Consider the following 22,497-nt stretch of genomic DNA (forward strand, 5'->3'; position numbering starts at 1 on the left):
GGAGCTGGCAATGCCACCTTGTCAGTACCTCCTATGTGAGAGGCAGACAGCTTGGCCTTTCTGTTTCAGAGTTTACATGGTTTTTTGGGTTGATCATCACATGTCGGTTGCTTCCACAGGGGCTGTTCCTGTTCTCGGTTCGGTTTCAGGCAGGTAGGGCTGCTGGTTCCTGAATACTGTGAGTGAGCATTTCCAGGTTCTGTCATAACTGATCTCTCATTTGCTCTTCCTCACCTTCACTGCTACAGCTCCACCCCATGGAACCATCTTAAAGAATCGCCTCATTACTATTTTGGGACATCAAAAATACTTTAAACACACATGAAGTGTCAGACAAAATCTGCACCTAAGAAAGAGGGGGATAATTTCTTTCCAACATTCTCATAGGAAGACACTGAAAATTCTATCTTTCTAAAGAAAGAGGAAAAACAACTGTCATTTTGGACACCATCAATATGGAAGCTTTGATGATTTAGCTCCACTCGCTCTCTTGACTGCACACACTGAGAAGCATTCCCAGATCATGTCCAGATCATATGACCCTGCAGGGGAATGGCCTCCAGTGGAGGTGTAGAGGCTGCAGAAGTCAAGAGGGCGTGGCCCGCACTTGGGATCCCAGTGTTCACCGGGTTGAATCCCAGCCCTGTCAGGTACTGGTTGTGTACCTACTTCTGGGTACAGGTATGAAGACTAGGTTAAACAGAGCATCATAGGGGGGCACCTTGCAGAGGCCTGGCATAGAGTAGTCAGCTGAACAATACTAAACCACTTATCTATAACACGTCTAAGTCCATGTGAAAGCAATGAAATAAACAGATCATCCCTCTTCCTTATTTTTTTTTTCTTTTTGAGACAGGGTCTCGCTCTGTTGTCCAGGCTGGAGTGCAGTGGCACAATCTTGGTTGACCGCACCTTCCACCTCCTGGGCTCAAGCAACCCTCCCTCCTCAGCCTCCTGAGTAGCTGGGACCACAGGCACATAGAAACAGGGTTTCACCATGTTGCCCAGGCTCTTCTTGAGCTCTTGAGCTCAAGCAATCCTTCCGCTTCAGCCTCCCAAAGTGTTGGGATTATGGGTATGAGCCACTGCACCCAGCTTCCTCATTTTTTAAAGCCACTTTCTTTCTGATATGGAACACTCTGTTGAAATACATTAAAGCATATACACTAAACAACTGTTTCATTTATTTACACAAAAAGCTGAAAAGATTAATATAACCAACAGTGAAGTACCTACCACCTAGCTTTAGAAATAAAAACTCCCTGGCCGGGTGCAGTGGCTCACGCCTGTAATCCCAGTACTTTGGGAGGCCGAGGTAGGTGGATCACCTGAGGTCAGGAGTTCGAGACCAGCCTGGTCAACATGGCAAAACCCCGTCTCTACTAAAAATACAAAAATTAGCCGGACATGGTGGCACGCACCTGTAATCCCAGCTACTTGGGAGGCTGAGGCAGGAGAATCACTTGAACCTGGAAGGTGGAGGTTGCAGTGAGCTGAGATTGCGCCACTACACTCCAGCCTGGGTGACAGAGCAAGCAAGACTCAGTCTCAAAAAAAAAAAAAAAAAGGAATAAAACTCCCTATCCACAATCCTCTTGCTTCTTCCTTGTGTGGAGAAATACTACCGTAACCTAGTGTTCCTTTTATTTCATCTCACATGAATGCTGGGTACATGCAGTACACTAGGCAATGAAGACTGAAAAGACAGCCATGCGCTTGGGCTGCTTGGAGTCCTAACAGTGTGCCAGGCTAGAGGTCAGAGTGATGCCCAGGGAGCACAGCCCGGGGAACAGGTTTGGGAGGGTGGTCCCGTGGGTCTGAGGACCCCGGTGGGCAGAGTCAACCTGTATTACTGTGTCTGCTTATGGCATCGGCGGCAACAAGGGCTGGGACGCAGGGTTCAGGGTATAGTCCCTTGCTCACCCCAAACACTTTGGTCAAGTCTGAGACCAGAGTCAATGTCTTGCTCATTTACATAGTTCACTGACAAAACAAGGGCAGGGTTCACTGCCACTCCGAACTTGGGTAATAAATCTGCAGCGCTAATCGGAGCGCACAGGCGGAGCTGTGCATTTCTGGAAAAATGTTACTCAATTTCTCTGAGTTTTTATTTCACCATCTATAAAATGTGATTATTAATCTCACTTTTTCTCTTGTCTCTACGGCAGCTTATGAAGATAAATTATGGTTGGCAGAATTATAAAACAGTTTAAACTCCTTGGAAGCAAGACACTCTATTAGTCCATGGTATTTTATAATCACTGGTATTATAAGGTGTACTCGAACTGCAGAGAAAAAGTCCGTTCCCACAAATATATGTAGATTGAAAGTAACCTCAGTATGGCTGGGGCAGAAGCAATCAAAATGTAAAACTGTATTTCAGATGGGTTGTTAAATCTTATGTTTCCACTGCAAAAATAAGGAGACTTGCATTGCTGTCTTGAGCTCTGAGCCGCTGTTTGAGCTGGTGACCGGGAGTGGGAGGCGAGGGATTACAGTGAAGCAGCACAGGACCCAAGAAACAGTGGCAGAAATCTGAAGAGCAGGGAGGAGGAGGAGGCTATTTCAGAGGAATTGGAGCCAGAGGTAAGAGAGAGCTGCACAGAAGACAGCCAGAAAGGCAAGGGCTGGAAAGCACCTCGGGGCAGCTGCATGGAGAGACAACACGCCCTGTGACCACAGGCAAGCCTGCTGGGAAAACAGGGGCAGCCTCCCCACAGGATGAATCCACACCATGCCTAGGGGGATCCAGAAGGTCCAAGTGGAGATGTAGATGGCCATTGAGGTGAGCTAATCCCAGGTCAACCTGTGATTGGATTCTTAAAAAGACACACAGCTTCCTAGGCAAACAGGAGATCAAAGAGAAATAGTTTTGTCTTTGATTAGGGTGATAGGCAGACAAGCAAAAGGAAAAAGGGACCCAGAGATGAAGCTCTAGGAGCAAAACATGGGGGAGGTTGACAAGGGGCCCACCCATTGCGCTGGCTTCCACGGAGCCATCCTTGGAATGGCCAAGCCAAACACCGTGGACCCCAAGATCTCTGTGCACTCTGCAGCAGGGTACTTTTGCCTGGTTATAAGCTGAAGAAATTAAGGTGGAGAGCTGCTGCAAGGGAACAGGGTTCCAACTCCAAAAGGAGAGCTGGGGGGACAGACACGACACCCAAACTTCTGGGTGGTTGCAGCTTGATGTAATACACGTAGAACCACTGTTGCAGAGATTTTCTACCTAAGGGGCCGCTACTGATGTCCATAAAACTGTGTGCTAAGGAGGATCATTTCAGACCCTCACTGATGATTCTGTCATAACTGAGTATCTTCAGCTATCACCAATACAAGTGCTGAAGACTTCAGAATGAACCATCATATCCATATGGAGGTTGATATAATTGCAGTTGGGTCTAGATGTTGACATCATTCTCATGGCACACTTGGACAGTCTCTTAAAGGATGCAGGCTTCCTTGATTCAACTGGCCATTCCCTGTATAATGTTAGAATCAGATTGGCGGTTTTTTCTATTCATATTGGCAGTGAACATCTTGGCTCTGAATATGTACTAAATACACACACACACACACACACACACACACATTTTCACACTGATCCTTCGTTCTTAGTCCTGCTCCAACTCTGCTAAGCGTAGCACCAAAATCTAACTCACTTGTTTACATGCCAGAGGAGAAGGTTGCATCTGCAACTGAAATGAATATAATCTCCAAAGGCTTCTGGTGATGTTGGTGCAAACTGGAAACCAGTTCTCAGATGTCCAGAGCATACTGGCCTCTAAATTTGTGGTTATGTGCTTGTGCATGTAGAATAAAGTGAAGAAAGTACAGCCAGGGACATGGATCCACCTAAACGATATTGACTTGACTTGGTGAAATAAGAAAAGCAAGAAGGGAAGGAAAGAAGAAAAAAAGAAAACTATGAATTGTAATGTCAATGAGGAAGGTTCCTAGAAGAACCAGTTTGGACTCCATGATAAGTATTTCAAAGATACTCACGCTGCCCTGTAATTCCTGAGATCCTTATACTCCTGACACGTGCTGTGCCTGCTTTACCCATCCCTGGCCTGGGTGGCCCAATATCCCCCAATCTGGTCTCTGGTGCTATACCATGAAGCTCTGCGTTGCTGGAGAAAGCCTGTTCTGACCTCCCAGCACTCTACCAGACTACAGTGTCACCAGGCCACGCTTTATGCTTGGTGACTTTTGTCAAAGAATGTGCTCAACAAATGTTTGCAGAAGCACCTATCAGCCAGAGAAATGGAACCATGTGTCTCTGCAGGTGCCTATCTATGTAATCTTTTCATATGTATACTGCTCCAGGCTCTTTTTAAATGTTTTTATCTTTTTTTTTAATTATGAAAGAGAATATATATACAAAGAAGTATACAACAAAAACGTATACCTTAACAACTTATTGGAAAACAAAGACCAGTGTCACTACCAGCCAGGTGAAGAAACAGAGCACTGTCAACATCACAAAAGCCCTGTGGTATTTCCTCCCATCCGCTGTCCCTCCTCCTCAAAGGGGCTCTGAAGTCACCATGTGTGGGAGGTGACATGCAGCCTGCACACTCAAGCCTGGGTATGGGTGCACATCGGTGTGGCAGCCCCCATGCCTCGCTGTGCTCTGCCACTGTGCTCAGATGAGGCTCCTGCCCAGGTGAGCGCAAAGGCCAGAGGCTGGGAATCCCAACACAGTGGCTGAGAAAGGAGCCAGGCCTCAGCCATTCTTTTATGATGGTCCTCATCATGGATCCTTTTGTTGACTGTTTTTCTTCCGATTCATTGTTAGTCTGTTGACTGAAGCCGAGGGTTGAAACTGGGCATTTAGAGCTGTGTTGGGAAGCCTGCTGATTCTGGGAAGGCCTAACCCAAGTCCCACTGTCACCTGCTGTCACTTTTCAGCTTTCTGGGACCACTCTTCTTTTCTCTGCACTGGCAAGGGATTTGGAATTTCAATTCCTGTGGATCAACTGCAGATGTGGCGTCTTCACTTTATTCAGCCTGGTGATGTTACCCACTTATAGTGATCATGAGATGTGAGGCTGGGGAAAAGGCTGGTCTCTTCCACACTAACACATTAATTCAAGGTTCACCCTCTACTCTAGATGGATGCATACTAAGAAAGTAACATCACTTATGTGCAACTTTACTGATTTAAATGCAAAACTTCTCATTGCTTCAACATTTAGCTTCGACTGGTTCATGGTGAGGCCTCAATAAGTGTTTGCTGGATGAATGAATGAACCAACAACAGGCAGAAGAAACACGATGCTTTCCTTTCCAAGGTTCCCAGTGCCTCCACTGGAGAAGCCCCGAATCCCCAACTCTCAGATGAGTGACTGTGCCATAGACAAGGCTCATCTTTGGGGTATTTTCTTTCCTTACAGCACCATCTGATCATGTGGCTTGTGGAGCTAAGTCACAGTCAGTCTTTATGGCTGACAGTCTGGGATAAAAGACAGAAACTTGCTCCTTCTTTGAAAGGGAGATACATTCAGTGTCACCAGCCGGAGACATACCAATTAAGAGAACAGAAGCCAGAAACTTGAGCTATGAAAAGGAACCCACTCAGTAAAAATGTCAAACACAAGTTAGAGAGTGAATTTCCATTGCAGCCTAAGGGATATTCCAATAAAACAGGTATCGTCTGAGGAGGTCTCCCCCACTGCACTGTGTGTTAGGTGGAAAACTACTGAGAAAGCAGGGCCGAAACCCACTAATACCCTACCTAAGCAACTTTCCAAATAAAGCCACTACTCCTGGCCGATGGAGTAGGCTCTGATCCTGTAAGTACAGGATGCGGCCTGACTCTAAGCAGGCAGGTGTGAGTGCGGTGAGGGGAGCCAGGTGGATGAGGCTGGCCTTGCTCTCTGGAGACGTGCACGCCATCAAACCAGCAAAACAGGACTCACTGAGGGTATGTTTTTTACCCAATTTTAGAGCAGGGAGCATCCACAGAGTAAATGTGGCCATGGCCCGTCTGCTCACAGCACTCCTGGTTAGGACCTGCTGTGGTCCGGACAAGAGCGAGCTCTCACGGTGACTGGTTGGTTATTCCAGCAGGAGTTAGGAACAAGAAGATCTTGCCAAACAAAATGGGCATAAACTCCAGGTCTCCAGCCAAGGGCAGCTTACTCAGGGGAAACCTTCCAACACTCAACTTTTCTTAAAGGAGCTGAAAAAGAACAAACCAAACCAAACCAAACCAAAGTTTGCCTTCTTGTGTTTGGGTCACAGAGGAAATACTAAGCTGGCTCTTTACACCTCCCACTAGGGGGCGCTGAAGTGCAACAGACACAGGCTCGGAAAGCCACCTGAACCTTCAACTTCCATGGAGACAGAGGGACGCGACCCACTGGGTAAGGGAACAAACGGTTCCCTTAAGGCTGGTGCGGTGGCTCACCCATGCACTGCCAGCACTTTGGGAAGCCAAGGCGGGAGGATCACTTGAGGCCAGGAGTTCAAGAGTAGCCTGGGCAACATAGTAAGACTCCGTCCCTACAAAAAATTTTTTAAAAAATTAGCCAGGAGTGGTTGTACACACCTGTAGTCCCAGCTACTCAGGAGGCTGAGGTAAGAGGATGGCATAAGCCTGGGAAGTCGAGGCTGCAGTGAGCTGTGATCACGCCACTGCACTCCAGCCTGGGTGACAGAGTAAGACCTTGTCTTAAAAAAAAAAAAAAAAAAAAGGAAAGAAAGAAAAGAAAGTTTTCAGATGAGGATACCACTGCTCCATCTTCTCATTAACCAGTTTTCTTATCCTAACAATGGGGCCTCTTTGTAGTCCAAGAACAGGGACTCTCCTACAGTGCCTTTGGAACGGAGCAACATTCAGCAAAAGAGATGAGAATGCTCATTTTGTTCTCGTGAGCCCCAAACACTACTCCAGCCAACTGAGCTAACCAGCTTATGGAATCAGGGAGCTGTCACACATCAGCTGGGGCTTTGGGTGGAGAAGGGAAGAAAGGAAGGCAGGAGGAAGGGAGGGAGGGACTCTTGAGGGAAGTCAGAGAAGAAAGAGTGAGGGGCGGTGAGGCAGCACCTGAGACTCTTGGTGGTCCCAGACTCTCCCTGAGCACACCCAGGCTTCCCCTCCGCACCTCTGTCAGTGGCCCTGTGGAAAGCATGTCTGGCCTGGCTCTCATGGAAAGCCTTTGAAGCTTTCTACTCAAACCTTACCTGCTCTAGCACTCCCTGCTGACTGAGGCTCCCTCCTGTGCTCTATTCCTACAACGCTAACTATGTCTCTACTGCCAATTCAGCTCTTTCACTCATCCTTGCACTGATAGTTTTTTTTTTTTTTTTTAAATAAGAATCATCTATAATCAGCTCCTAGACTGGAAGCATCCCGAGGCCATGGCCTGTGCATGACTGATCTCTGTACACCTCACAGCACCCAGCGTACAGCCTTGTCTACTGGGGTGAGAGGGTCGGTGTCTGCAGACATTGGGTGTCATTGTTCACACTCATGAGCTGGAAGAAGCTGTGGTTTCATTATCTTCTTTCCTACCGCCAAGCACTGTGCTAAGAACAGTAAATACCCAATACACAGATGTTTGCTGAACTGAGTAGCTGATTGTGTGAAGAAGAAGTGAAAACTGGGATTTCTTACTGTTTATTTACTTTTAAGGAAATAAGTGGCTCTTTTAGTTCTTCTCTGATAATAAGGATTTCAATGGTGAAATGTGAATAGAAACCTATAAAGCTCCACTTTTTAATAGGAGAAGCTTGACATAGGGAGTTTGTATCTATCTATCATCTATCTATATCTATCTATCTAGATATCTATATATATGCTGAGGAATAGTGGGTGAAAAGCAGGTGATAAAGGAGATACTATTTACCTACCTGAAGAAGAAGAGAGAATAAGTGGAGATAGGGAGGAGGCAGCTAGGGAGATTTTGAAAATTCAATTAAAAAAAACCCATAAGCAATTAAACCCATAAAAAAACCTGTGAGATGTTTGAAAGAATGACAGTGATCATTGGTATGAACAGCTTAGTTTCTTTTTTGCCAAGGAAGAAAAGTTTTGTGGCATCACTGGAAATCAGCGAGGGCCTGCCTGGCAGGCCTGTCTCTGTAGTGTCAGCTGTGTAAGTAGGTCTTTGTATGGTTGTATTTAGGCTTGTCCTGGATTCCCCCAAGAGATCAAAAGTTCCTTGAGGAGACAGAACCTATATTTGCTTCCCAGGGAAGTGCTCAGCTGCCACACAGCTCAGGGTGGTGATGCACACAGCAGGAGTTCAATCAACATTAACCCGCTAAATGGAGCTAACCAAATTCCACCCCCAGTCTGAAAGGCTCTGACACAGAACTGTCTAGTTCCTTTTCATTTGGCCTCAAAAGGGGTACATTTTTCAAAAAACAAAACAACCCCACATACCCCAAAGTTTCAACCTGAGATTCAATTTTGAATTGAAGGCTAAGTGAACAATTCTGCCTAACTCTTTAGTAAGTCTTGCTTGTGTGAAAATCAAACAGAAATCTTCCCTCTTCCCTCTTCTGGGTTTCCCTGACTATATAGAGGTTGATAGACTTCAGATGATCACAGAACCCAAAGTTACAGGCCATCACTAGGGAGTCACAGTTCAGACCAGGAAATCACTAGCGGCAGAGAGAAGCGTGGAGGGAAACGACGTTGCGGCTTTCGGGTTACACAGTGGAAAGGCTGATGAAGGGAATACGGCACACAGTCCCCAGCCTTGTTACTTTATCCCCCCGGGATAGCATCAATAGCTTACATGGGAGTGAGCATCATTCCTGCTTGCACCTTCACGTCCGGTTAAAACGATTCTATTCTGCAAGCCAGAGCTTAGGTTCCATCACTTCCTACCGAGCAACGCCCCCCACCCTTCTCATCAGCCCCGTCTGCATCATTACGGAGGACGGAGGACGGCTCTTGGGATTGTCTTGCTTGGCAGTGGAGGGCGGAGCAGAAGGAGGGAGAGGGTGCTGCGGGTTTTTTTTTTCCTTTCCCCGTATGTATTGTGTTCAGTGTGGACAAATATTTGTGTAGTCTGTATTTACCATTAATACTAGGATAAAGTCATTAGTGATTCGATTTTTCTATGGAAAGAAGCAAGGCATTGGGCGGGTGGAGGGGGAAGCAAAACCCCAAACGGAAGAACAGAAACTCTAAAAGCTGGCGTCTGAAGGTATTATTCAAAAACAATATGGGAAAAGGCAGCACCATATTTCCTCTGTTCTTCTAAGGGGAAGTTCAGAAAAAGGTCAGAAAGAGAACAATGCAGGCCATCTATCATAGCAGCCTCTAACCTAGAGGTGACTTGCCCGCTGCAGCCTCATTTCTCAGTTCTGTAATTACCACCCCTCCCACAGACTGGACACCACAGCGGCCTATGAATTATGCATTTCATTTCCACCTCCCCACACCCTGACTCGGTGACCACTGCTGCGGCGGGTGGCTGCGGGGGGCGGGCCGATGCAGCACCCCTTCCCCCAGGTACACGCGCAAATGTTACAGGGCCCCAGAGCCCCGGTGCACACCCGCAGATGCTGCTTGTGCTGACCTTCAGTTCCCAGCCTAAGATTTTGTTTATTGAGCAAATAAGACTAGTTACCAGTAGGGATTTTCCTAGGGGAAAACACACTGGGGCACCTTTTCTTCCCCTTCACGTTTTTATTCAGGCAAAATCTGGTTAAAATGAATATTAAGGGTGGTCTTGAAGGAGGCAGAGGTGATGTAGAGCCTGAGGGTATGTGTGTGTGTGTGTCTCCTGCTGTTAGAATTCGGGGGGGTGGTTTGGAAAGTGGGTCCCAGAAATGGATACTGCTGCAGGAACAGGAGCAACCCTGCTCCTCCCTGTCTGTGCCTCTGATTAACTGGTGCCCCTCTCCTACCAATTCAGAGGGTCCCAGAAAACTTCTGGGGCCACCTGTCTTCACAGGTGCTACTGGTATACCAAAGCAGGGACTACTCTTTGTTCAGAGTGATTTTCCTTTCAAATCTTTACAAAACGTTAGGTTTAGTAGAGAAGTTGGTTAGGTTTAGTTGCTCGAGCAACTGAGAGACCTAGGAATACCCCTGGAAGCAGACAGGGGTAAGCAGCAAGCGAAAGGGTTCCCTTGAAAAGCAAGGGTTCTTCTGTTTGGTACACCTCAGTCTATCGCTTGAAGAGGTGGTATGGGTAGGATTTTAAAAAATATTTTTAAAAAGTGACTTTAGATACATTCAGGGAAGACAGTTCTAAGATGGGATATAAAAATAGGATATTTAGGCCAGGCATGGTGGCTCACGCCTGTAATCCTAGCACTTTGGGATGCCAAGGCAGGCAGATCACCTGAGGTCAGGAGATCAAGACCAGCCTGGCCAACATGGTGAAACTCCATCTCTACTAAAAATACAAAAATTAGCTGGGTGTGGTAGCATGAACCTGTAATCTCAGCTACTTAGGAAGCTGAGGCAAGAGAATCGCTTGAACCCAGGAGGCAGAGGTTGCAGTGAGCCAAGATTGTGCCACTGCACTCCAGCCTGGGCGACAGAGCAAGACTCCATCTCAAAAAAAAAAAAAAAAAAAAGGATATTTAATTTCTGAGGCTGATCTGGGGAACACAATAGTAAGTGGGCTGAATATTAGGTGCAAATCACTATGACATATATTTTATTCCCTTCGGGTTTTTTTTTTTTTTAAACTATTCTCAGGGTTGGACCATTTGTTCATAAGGGACCGACTGAGGGTTGTGATCACAGCTGTGACAGCCAGCCCTTAAGATGGCCCCTGAGGACCCAGTTCTCCTGGAAGTCAACACCCTGGTGTGGTCTCCTCTCACACTGAGCAGGGCAAACCTGTGTAACCAATAAGACAGCGCAGAAATGACAATGTGTGGCTTCTGAGACTAGGCTGTAAAAGGCATGTGGCTTCTGCTTTTGCTCTGCCTTGAATCACTTACTCTGGAAGAGGACCCTCAATGGCCCTGTGGAGAGATCCACGTGGATGGAACCCAGGCCTCTGGCCAACAGCCAGCTCTGGCTTGCCAGCCACAAGGGTGACCCACCTGGGAAGAACACCCTCCAGCCCCAGTCACGCCCTTGGGTGACTGCAGCCTGGGCTAAGAGCTCACCGCCACCTCATGACAGAACTGGAGTGGGAATCGTCCTGTCATGTTGCTCCCAAATTCCTGGAGCACAGCAACGGTGAGATAATGTTTATTGTGTCAGCCACGGAATTTTGAGGTACTTCGTTATGCAGTGACAGATACTGATTGGGCGTCTCTAAGAGGGGAGGGAGCACGCAGAGAAGCTCTGGATTTGTGTTTCCAACAAGCCTTAGGTCAGCACCCCCTGATACCCAACACATCACTAGGTCCTCCATCCAGCCCCTGCCCTGCCCTGATGGGAACCAATGAAGCACTTTCTAAAAAGGTAGGAGGCACAAGGAAAACACAGCCTGAGGAGGACTTCCAAGCACCCAAATGCAGGCAAGACTGAACGGATGGCATGAAGTTTGCAAGCTGCTATTCCACAGGATGAACCCGGCACAGAGACAGACACTCTTTGGCCTGCATAGATATTAAATTTTTTCAACTAGCTATTAACATTTAGAACTCAGGTGATATTCCTAAAAGTTTGGATTTCCTGCTGAAAATCAAAAGCTCTGGCAACTCTGGGCCACTTGTCAGTTCGTGGTCACAATGACCTGGGGCTGGATAAGGCTGCCCTCTGCACGTGTGTGTCACCAGATGCAGACCTTAGTCATTACCAGCTCACTGACCACCTACCTGGCCCTGGAGGCACTTGAGTTCGTGACTCCTAGGAGAGAGGCGAGCTGGAGGGGGACAAATGAAACACTTACATGAAATCACTGCTTTTAGCTCTATAGCGGGGGCACTGTGGAGAGGTACACAATTTGTTTTCTTTTATTAAACAAACAAACAAACAAAAAAGGTTTAGCAAACAGCTGCCCCAGAAGGGACTTCTTAGAACTTACAAGGAATGTAAAATGATTATTCCACTTTACATTACACAGTGTGAACTTTAAGAGGAGAGATCCGATGTTATGTTTCTGCAATGTTTGTTTATGGAGGTCTTCGTTATATAAGACCTCCGTGGAGAGGAACTGCAATGCTGGAGTCTCACTTTGCTGATCTGGCTTTCTACTCTAACAATTATTTACAATAACATTAGAGAGGAAGGCTCTGGCGCCATAACTCAGTGAATATCTGCCGGATTCTTCCCTCCTACAAGATACAATAATATACCCTTTATTGGCCTTCTCCCAATTCTCCATTTGAAACAGGATTATAATCAGTTTTCAGAGTGGCTTACTCAGGAATTAACTAGCCAAGCACTGGATCACTGCTTCTTGAACAATTCTGTAGTCCTTTGCACATTTTTGGAAAAGGAATGTGATGTCAACAGCCTCATGTTCTTGAGAATATCCTTCCTAGGTGGGCAAGTGCTGGGCTGGGGGAGAATGGGGCCTTGTGTTTGCATAAGACGCTGCTCACGAGTGGCTTTGTATAAGACAGCAGGAGGAAGGCATTCTGTCTGCCTCCCCCTTCCCCTGAGCTCGGGGACATGATTGGATTATTGAGTGATTATGTAGTAAGTTCAATCACTGATATTTATTGAGCTCCCAGCATGTTCAAGACTCTGCTAGAGGGTGATACCAAGTCATGGTTGCTGTTCTCAAGAAGCTTATCATCTCGTGTACACGTATGGAAAAAGGAATACAGACAGAAATCATGAATGTCAGATGCCAGCTACGTTTAGAGGGAGCAATCTCTCTCATTCAATAAACATGTATTGAGCATCCATTATGTGCTGGGCACTAATTAGAGAGTGAACAAAAAAAGACAGTCTCTGTTCTCATGGAACTTGAACTCTAGTAGACCTCAGCGGACTCCACTCCAGGCTGGGAAGAACAGGAGAGAATTCAAGGAGGCAGAATTTAAATAGAATCGTTAGGTACCACCGACTTCAGAGTTGAGAGAAGGGAGAGGGCACTGCAGGTAAGAAAACATCATTAACGAAGGTACAGAGGCAGGAAAACACAAAGAAGACTGTTCAGGGCCGGCACGGTGGCTCACGCCTGTAATCCCAGCACTTTGGGAGGCCGGGGTGGGTGGATCATTTGAGGTCAGGAGTTTGAGACCTGGCCAACATGGTAAAACCCCACCTCTACTAAAAATACAAAAATTAGATGGGTGTGGTGGTGGGGGCCTGTAATCCCAGCTACTCAGGAGGCTGAGGCACAAGAATGGCTTGCACCTGGGAGGCTGAGGTTGCAGTGAGCCGAGATCACGCCACTGCTACTCCAGCCTGGGTGACAGAGCAAGACTCTGTCTCAAAAAAAAAAAAAAAAAAAAAAACTGTTCAGGAGAACAAGGAAGTGACACAAGGGCTAGGGCAGTAGGAGCAAGGGGCAAGTGATACCAGAGCAGAAACAGCGTCACTGTCATCCTCGATGCTAACTCTGGACCTCCTATGCCATGGTGCTGAGGCAGGACAACAGCTGCTCTTTGATTTCTTCAGAGAGCAACTACAGACAAAGAGACATTTGTCTGTAAACATGAGTAACTGGAAAATGCAGTGCTGAGGACTATCAACTGTTACAGAATGGGTGGTGGGATTTAGAGATCTTATGGGACAAATCACACCTCCCACACCGCCATCTCGTATGGTAAAACTCTGACCCATGGACCTCGGGAAGGAGGCCTCTGCCTCCTGTTACAGACATGCCATTGAGAGGCACAGGTGATAAGTGAGCAAAGGAAATCAGCTTCCACTGCCTCAAGAAGCACAGCCTGGGATTACCTGACCTGGTGTGATGAAAATCGCCAAGTTTTATGTTGCATTAGTGAAGATTTTCCACTTGTACAATGTTTTTTTCTTTCCAAAGGTGGGGGGAACAAAACATGCTCCTCTGGCCTCCTCGAGACTGTTGTTGTTTTTTTTTTGAGATGGAGTCTCGCTCTGTCGCCCAGGCTGGAGTGCAGTGGCATGATCTCGGCTCACTGCAACCTCCACCTCCCAGGTTCAAGCGATTCTCCTGCCTCAGCCTCCTGAGTAGCTGGGGTTAAAGGTGCCTGCCACCACGCCCGGCTAATTTTTGTATTTTTAGTAGAGACGAGGTTTCACCATCTTTGCCAGGCTGGTCTCAAACTCCTGACCTCAAGTGATCTGCCTGCCTCGGCCTCCCAAAGTGCTAGGATTATAGGCGTGAGCCACTGTGCCCAGCCAAAACTGTTTCTTTACTACAGAGACAGGTTTGTGTATGTGCAGCCCAGCTTATTGAATGATAAAGCAGCAAAACAGAGCCTCAATGACACAGGGGCTGCCAGGCCCCTGTTCCTATAGGTTTAACAGCATGAGATACACATAAAAGCTGCTGCTATACAAGTGAGGCTCTTAAACATCATTAAAAACACATATTTGAGGTTAGGCACAGTGGCTCATGCCTGTAATCCCAGCATTTTGGGAAGCTGAGGCAAAAGGATCGCTTGGGCCCAGGAATTTGAGACCAGCCTGGGCAACACAGCGAGACTTTGTCTACAAAAAAAAATCAAAACATTAGCCAGGTGTGGTGGTGCACACCTATAGTCGCAGCTACTCTGGAGGGTGAGGCAGGAGTACTGCTTGAGTCTGAGAGGTTCAAGCCAAAGTGAGTCATGATCACGCCACTGCACTCCACCCTGGACGACAGAGCAAGGCCCTATCTCAAAAACAAACAAACAAAAAACCCCCAAAAAACCCCAAAGCAAAAAACACATCTTTGGAACTGTTTAATGCATTTAGGGAGCATGGAGTCCTTATGGTGGTCTGTTATGGGCTTGAGGCTTCACCAAGCCCCTGTGAAAACTCTGAGTGCTGTCTCCATGGCGGGGTTGCAGTCAGTAGCAAGATAACAAAACTCAGATGGGAAGGACAAAGCGCAACATGGACGCTCACGAGTCCAGCCAAATTCTGAGTGCTTAAGAAGAGGCCTGTTCATTACGATATTCCTGGTAATATCAACTCTCAAACTACTCCTTGGATCACCTACCCAATATTTATTTTTGGGAACAGTTTAAATCAAGAGAAAAGCTATTAATAAGTTAAATAAAAGCTGTTGAAGGGATTCCTGCGAGTGGGAGGTTGAATAGGGTGATTTCTAAAGCCCTTGCCAACACACAATCTAGGATTCTATCACTGCCTTCCTCCCGATCCCATGCAATTACATATTCACAGGCGACAAAGAGCAATAGAAAATAGCTAATTCACATGAAGGGCTGCTCTGACTGTGGGGGGAATTCGCTTGGATAAGAAAGTGTCCCTAGGAATTAGGGTCCCCAGCCTGGAGCTGAGTATTGATGAGCCAGTTACTGAATTCTCAGTGCCCATAAGGTGCAGAGTTGATGACAAGGATCACAGTCAGTTAAGGGACCACAGTCATGACAAATACAAACCAGAAAATAGTTCAGAAAAGGGTTGAGCAGGCACACAAATAAATTCAGAGCAAGCGAAGCTAGTTATGATAAACAAACAAATGTCAGTCTTCCCTTTGGGACAAAGACGTAAGTTGCAGTGGAGCCAGTAGAGAGTGAATGGGGAGGCCCTGTGCAAGAGGCTCCCGCCGGGCAAGGAGGCTGCTGCCTGCAGTTCTGCAGGTGGCTGTAGACAGAAGGCGTGTGGGAACCTGCACAGCAACTCTGTCTTCCTCTGGAGTCTTTCCGCTTATCCGACGTGGCAGGGTCTTCTTGGCTCTTGCTTCTGAACATGCTCACTTCCTCTTTCTTTTCTCCTTGGCCCTTTCTCTCCTTCTTCCTTTAAGGTGGCAATGCTTGTCCCTGCTCCCTGCCCTGCACTGATGGACGCACAAGTGGAGGGGTCTACACACCCCTCTTTCATTTCCTAAGCAACCCACAAGTCCAGGTGAAGATGTATGATTACATTTGTATTTTGGAAACATAATGATTGATTGTGGTTATGATTTTAAAGGAAGGGCACACTCTTGTAATGGGCAACTGGAGAATGAATTAGGGTCAAGAAGGCTCAGGGTGGGGAGGCAAGTCAGGAGGCCTATATGATAATTGGATGATCATTTAACCATGGATGAGGAGACTCGTGCCAGGGAAGCTGGAAAGGCTGCACTCACACATCACCACCAAGCTGCTTTTGGGACTCAGGGGCCTTCCCTTGGTTCTCATCCTCAGCCTTGCCTCTCTTTGATAACTGACCCTGTTGACCTCAACTCGCTTTCCAAGTCCCCTTAGGGTTGCTAATGTGTTTTGCTGGTCTCTGCTCATTTCTCCCATCATTCTTCTCTCTCCTCTTCCTTCTCCCACTCCCTCACTCTGTACCCTGGTCCACCTCCATGGTGAACTCATTCACTGCCAGGCATCTACCACCAGGCAGATGCATTCCCAGCCCCAATCTCTCCCTGGGTTCTAGTACCATATTCTCATTGACTTAAGTATCTCTAATTGGATGCCTCAAAGTGAAGTCATCATGTCCCTCCACCCCCACAAAACGGGGCTCCTCTCCAGCTCACCCCACTTATTCCAGCAGAACCATGATTTTTTCATCTCCAAAATTAGGATGCTCAAGAGTCATCTTTGCTTATCACGTTTACCTTTATTTCTTGAGTTTCTGCCTTCTTTTTGGGATTTACCTCACAGTCACTTTTTCTTCTTTATTCTCAATGCCACTACTCCCTTGGCCTGGGCCCGATAACTGAAACAGTCTCTTGGCTAGTTTCTCTGCCTCTAATCTTTCCCTCCGTCCAATCCAATTTACAGCCTGCTGCCTGACTCACTTTCATCATCCCACAGCTTTCCTCAAGAACCAACTTGCCTATCACACGGAATCCAAATTCTAATTGCTCCCAAGGCCCCACAGCTGCCCTCCCTTACCCCATCATGTTTTTCTGTGTTCAGTTCATAACATCCTCTTCTTTTAGGTCTGACCCTTCCCTGTCATTTGTGCACACCGCAATACTCTCCTTACTCGACACTTCTGTGCATGTTGCTTTCTTCATCTGCGATGCTCTCTCCTTCTCTTATTCAAATCCTAAACATCCTCAGAGTTCAGTTCTACCTCCATTTTTTTTTTTTCCTGAGATGGAGTCTTGCTCTGTCACCCAGGCTGGAGTGCAATGGCACAATCTCGGCTCACTGCAACCTCCACCTCCCGGATTCAAGTGATTCTCCTGCCTCAGCCTCTCGAGTAGCTGGGGTTACAGGCTTGCACCATCACGCCTGGCTAACTTTTGTATTTTTAATAGAGACGGGGTTTCACCACATTGGCCAGGCTGGTCTCGAACTCCTGACCTCAAATGATCCTCCAGCCTTGGCCTCCCAAAATGCTGGGATTACAGGCATGAGCCCCCATGCCTGGCTTGCCAGTTCTACGTCCACTTCTATTAGCAGTCCCCCGACAGCTCACCCAGGCTTCTGCTGTAGTCAAGAGCCTTGGACTGCACTGTGTCCACCTTGCACGCTGACCCTCCGTGGGAGGTACTACGTCAGTCAGAGTCGTCTGTTAGACAGCATTCATCTACCATCCTAGGTAGTGATTATGCTGTTAGGGTGGCTTGTGTTGACCCAAATGTTCCTTCAGACCTCGTCCATTCGATTTTTCACTGTATTGGTCCCAAATCCCCAGGCCTTATCTACGCTGAGCTTATCAGACTTCACCTTCAGCTGCACATCTCTAGACAGAGACAGGACTGGCACATTCTGCCTCCACCCAAATGATTCTTGGCCATCATCCCCTGCCTGGGTAGACCTTTACTCTCATTGGCCTCTGGATTTACCCAGTGCTATCTCTGCACAATGTTCAGTTTCAGTTCTTCCTGAGGAACTTTTTGATGCCTTCCAGAAGGCTCTTCTTTCCCTTCACACACCTTCCATTAAACTGTAAGAGTCATGCCAGGCACTTGTTTCTAGGTGTAGCAGTTTAATCTCTCCAATTAAGCTATAAGCTTCTTGATTAAAACAAAAACAAAAACAGAAACATGGCACCTTCCTTTCTTGGACAGCTATCACTGAACACAGTGTTACACAATAAGTGCTCACGAAAACACAACTGATTGACTTATTTTGTGTCACACCATGTGACTGGCCACCATCCTTCCAGATGCCCTTTAAGAGGTCTGCACAGGGATCAGGAGACCTGGGTTCTCCACATGACCTTGTCACTATCTACTTTGTGTTCCTGGTTGAGTCACTTAAATGTTATGAGCCTAAGTTCCCTCAGCCATAAGATGGTAGCAGCCATTCCTACTTGATCACCTTAAGAATCAATAGGGGATCACCTGAGGTCAGGAGTTCTAGACCAGCCTGAGCAACATGGTGAAACCCCGTCTCTACTAAAAATAGAAAAATTAGCTGAGTGGAGTGGTGTGTGCCTGTAATCCCAGCTACTCAGGAGGCTGAGGCAGGAGAATCACTTGAACCCAGGAGGCGGAGGTTGCAGTGAGCAGAGATCGTGCCATTGCACTCCAGCCTAGGTGACAACAGTGAAACTTGGTCTCAAAAAAAAAAAAAAAATGAACGGGGAAAAGGCAAACAGAGTGTTGACATATTTGACAAACTTCATTGTATGTTTAATTAACTCATTCACTCACTCAAATCATTCAATGTATGTATGCTACACAAATGGCCATGTTATGAAATGAAGATGAGCCAAGAGTTTTCAATTCCACTGAATTATTTTCAGGGAAAGTGACTTCATGAGAAGTAGGAAAGCGAAAGCAAAATTTTCTCCATAGAAACTAATTTAATGCCCACACTAGTTTAACCTATTTTATAAACCAAATACCAGAAATTTGGACAGAGAAGAGTCTTTGACAATATACAACCTAGGTAGGAAGAGGAGACAGTCAGAGTTCTGGTAGGTACGGCAGAGTTGGGAGGTGCTGTGAAGGTGGGGATAAGATCTTGTTTTGTACATCCTAATTCTGAGTGCCCTTTTATTACAACTGCTTTCTGCCATCTCCTTCAGGCAAAACCCCAGGTTGCTGAAGTGCCTGCTAATTTTATATTGGAAGGCCAGTTCTGGGTCACTGCACTACTAGTCTTTCTCAACCAGGGTTTTCTATCTGAACTACAGAGCACAGAAAATGATCTGTGTGACTGTAACCTTCCTATATACCACTCTCAGTGGCCAGGAGAGGAGTCGATTCACTACAATGGATGTCTTAAAGCAGGAGGGCTTATTTCTCCCTGGGAACCCTAGTTGGGGAAGGCTAAACACTGACTGATGGACATATTTCTCGCTGAGGCCGACGGCATGTGGTATTGGCATTGGCTGACCAAAAACAATAGGGCCCTGTCTCTGCTGCAAGGGGGCCGGGAGGGATTTTTTCACTGAGGAGCACTACCTTAATGAACTCACTTGCTTTTCTATGCCGCTTGTGTCCACATTTCCCTCACTGCCCTACTTCTTTCCTGGGACTGTCTCTCGTCTTAACCCTTTCCCTGCCACGCATCACAATTAGGCCATTCAAACCAAATTTTCTACTCTAAAAGCATTCACAGATATGCCATTTCATGCAGCTGAAGATTCAACAGGCATAATTTAATAACATCCGATTCTTTCTGCACCCTTCAAGTAGGAGCAGCCTTTTTTGAGTCCATCTTTTTGGTAGGTTCCCTGGCCCTGAGCCGCGGGGTCAGATCTCCAGCCAGAAGACCCAGCACAGACCCCCGGCTGCAGCTGCAGCTTGTGCACGGATAGAGAGAGATTCCTGCTTGGGCTATTAGTGTCCCAGGTCTGGACTCTGGTTAATATGGTCGTCACTGTCACCTCTGCTGTTGCTATCCTATAGTCTCTGCAGTAGGCATTCAGTTTTCTCTTTATTCCCTGTCCTTGGCCTATGCCTTGGCCTATGCCTATGCCCTTTAAAGGAAGACAGACCCTTCCTTTAAAGGGTGTGTCTCCAGCCCACGAACTTCTGGCTGGCTAGAGCTGCATTCTCTCTCTTTTCTGCTCTTTTCTTCCTGACACCCTATTAGAAAATTAGGGTTATTTCTTGATTTCCTTTATTCAGTTCTCCCTGATCCCTCTACATATGCCACCATCATACAGGCATATAGCTAATCTTTACTTGGGTTTAGTCTCTTCAAAAACAGACCTATTTATAGCTTCCCAATATATAACTGCATGTTAAATGCAACACCTATACTTCAGCTCTCTTATTTATAATTTGAATTTTGAAATTCGGAATTGTTCCATGGTTCAAAAATCACCTTTGGGCGGGTTGTTTTGCCAAGAAAACCTTTTATCAAAAACAAACAGTTCACTGGCTGGCAATACACACTTTACTGGAATGGCCTCCCATAGTTTGAGAAGCTCATATCTGGTTGTAGCCCAACTGGTCAAGGGTGTTATTGTCTGTCTCTTGGGAAACCACTAAAGGAAAGAGTAGGAAGTAGGCACCCTTGGGGAAAATGGCAAAGCCTATAGGGTTTCAAATAGAACACAGTAGGCAACTAAGAAAAGTAAAAACAACCAATTTTTTGTTGTTGTTGTTGTTGTTTTTAATTAGAGCCTCAACCAAACTCAAATACAATTTGCATGACCACAGCTGAATTCGCCTATCATGTATACCACAGGACATTTGCTTTTCCTGGTTACAGCATGACTCAGACTTTATTTAAATCCTTTTTACAAAGAAATAAGGGAGATAAAAGTGACAGAAATAAAGTCATTGTTTGCTCTCTGCCCAGGCAGCATGGGGACAGAGGCTGATCTGAGGTCAACCCAAAGGCCCCATCGGTTGGGCTGTTATTGCCATATGGCCTGCGGGGCTTTGTTATATTTGTGGGTTGGACCTTACTCCTACAATCACTTGTTCTCAACAGCCCAGGTGTTTCCAAATCCTATTTCACTGGTTGAATTCATCTGATATTCACAGTCCTTGAGGCTAGTGCTGAGAATGAGGTGGGAGGCACCTCTCACAGAGGGCTAGCCAGTCTAGATACGTAACAAGGAAAGAATTATTCCAAGCAACAGAAGATATCTGCGTTTTCCTGGCAGATCCAGAGACAGAGAAACTCACAGGCCCCAGATCTTGGCAGGAGATAGGAAGTGGTATGAGCACAAAAGGGGAGCTACGCACCATTAACAAGGAAACAGAATCTGAAAACTCCAAAGAACACGCACGTGGATGTTCCCACACCCGTCTGCTCTTCCACATTCCAGAGACTCCCGGCCTCTAAAAGACACCTTTTTATTATGGATAATACTGGTGGTATGCTGGCATGCTGACACTGGGTAGGGGTGGGGTGGGGTGGGGTTGATCTATTGCCAATTTCCTTGGTATAAATACTGCTTCCATGGCCCATTTCAAGCAAACAACATTTTAACTACTAGCCCTTAAAAATCCTCATTATTTAACAACCAGCTCCTGCAAGCTGGTATGAACTGGCTCCAGCACACCACTGGATAATACTTAACACACTAGAAACCCTGGAGAACAATCCGACACCCAATATAAGCGTCTCTTCTACAGAATCCCTGACAGCTGTACACCAAACCTGTTTTGCTCTCCACTGGTGAGCTGCTCATGAAGTCTAACATCTGCCTAGCTTAGAATGCCCTAAGTATGCCCACTGGAGAAGTGCAGGATAAGTCTACCCATCTGTGGTGTCTTCAACATGGCAACCTTTTACATACTTGAAGACAGTGGTCATGAACCTTGGGGTCTTCTCCTTTCTTCTCCATGCTGAAACATATCCCCAGATCCTTCTACTACCCTTCACATCAAAAGTATAACAGCCCACCCACAATACAATGAACATAAAAATGTCCCAAATGTAACATAACACAATGGGGCCATTATCTCCCTTGTGCTAATCAGAGTAAGAATTGTCTTGCATCACACATAAAATACACTAACACTAATGATAGCTGATTAGTTAAAAAAAAATCACACACACAAAAAAATCTCATATGTTTTAAGGAAGTTTAGGAATTTGTGTTGAGCCACATTCAAAGCTGTCCTGGGCTGCATGCAGCCTGCAGGCTGGACAAGCTTGCTCTAAATACTATGCTTTTCTTACTCTCCTAAGATTGCATTAACCCTTTTGACAGCCACCTGATACTAACCATTCATCCTTACATAACTATCTCCCCCAAAGCCTTTCCCTCCTCCCAGAGTCTTTTAATATTATTTCAGGTTTTTCACATTAATTGATTATTAAAATACACTTGCTAAGACTACATTATTCTCACCAACTGTTATATGTTTAGCTTGGCTTCTGACCTCTACTGAGATCTTCTTTATTCTTCCAAAGGGTGTTACCCACAAACGTGCTAAAAAGCCTTTTATGTCTTCATTCAATTCACTCACATAGATTTTTGCAGCATCTACAAGGGACCTCGCCCTCTTTAATCCATGCTCTTTGAGTATAGTCCTTAGCTAACATCCAGCCAGCGGCACCACTCTCCAATCTATGTTTCTCCATCTTGCTCACAGAATTTCACACACTTGTCAAGTGCCTAGTTGAAATTTAGAATGTACTTTTAGCAGGAAAGCA

General features: G+C 46.3%; 1 protein-coding gene across 13 annotated transcripts in view, besides 1 other annotated feature; it reads right to left on the reverse strand.

Annotated features, from left to right (window-relative positions):
• The window catches only part of HIPK2 (homeodomain interacting protein kinase 2), a 216,429-nt gene that overhangs the window by 78,249 nt on the left and 115,683 nt on the right, over positions 1–22,497 (reverse strand). The gene's annotated exons all lie outside the window — the stretch shown is intronic.
• Positions 9,528–9,797: an enhancer, noted in NCBI's record as "active region_26766". NCBI's record gives its function as "activates an Ori minimal core promoter by ATAC-STARR-seq in GM12878 lymphoblastoid cells {active_cell/tissue: GM12878}" and the evidence as "EXISTENCE:reporter gene assay evidence [ECO:0000049][PMID:35858748]".

The sequence above is a fragment of the Homo sapiens genome, chromosome 7, assembly GCF_000001405.40.
Source record: "Homo sapiens chromosome 7, GRCh38.p14 Primary Assembly".
NCBI lineage: Eukaryota > Metazoa > Chordata > Mammalia > Primates > Hominidae > Homo > Homo sapiens.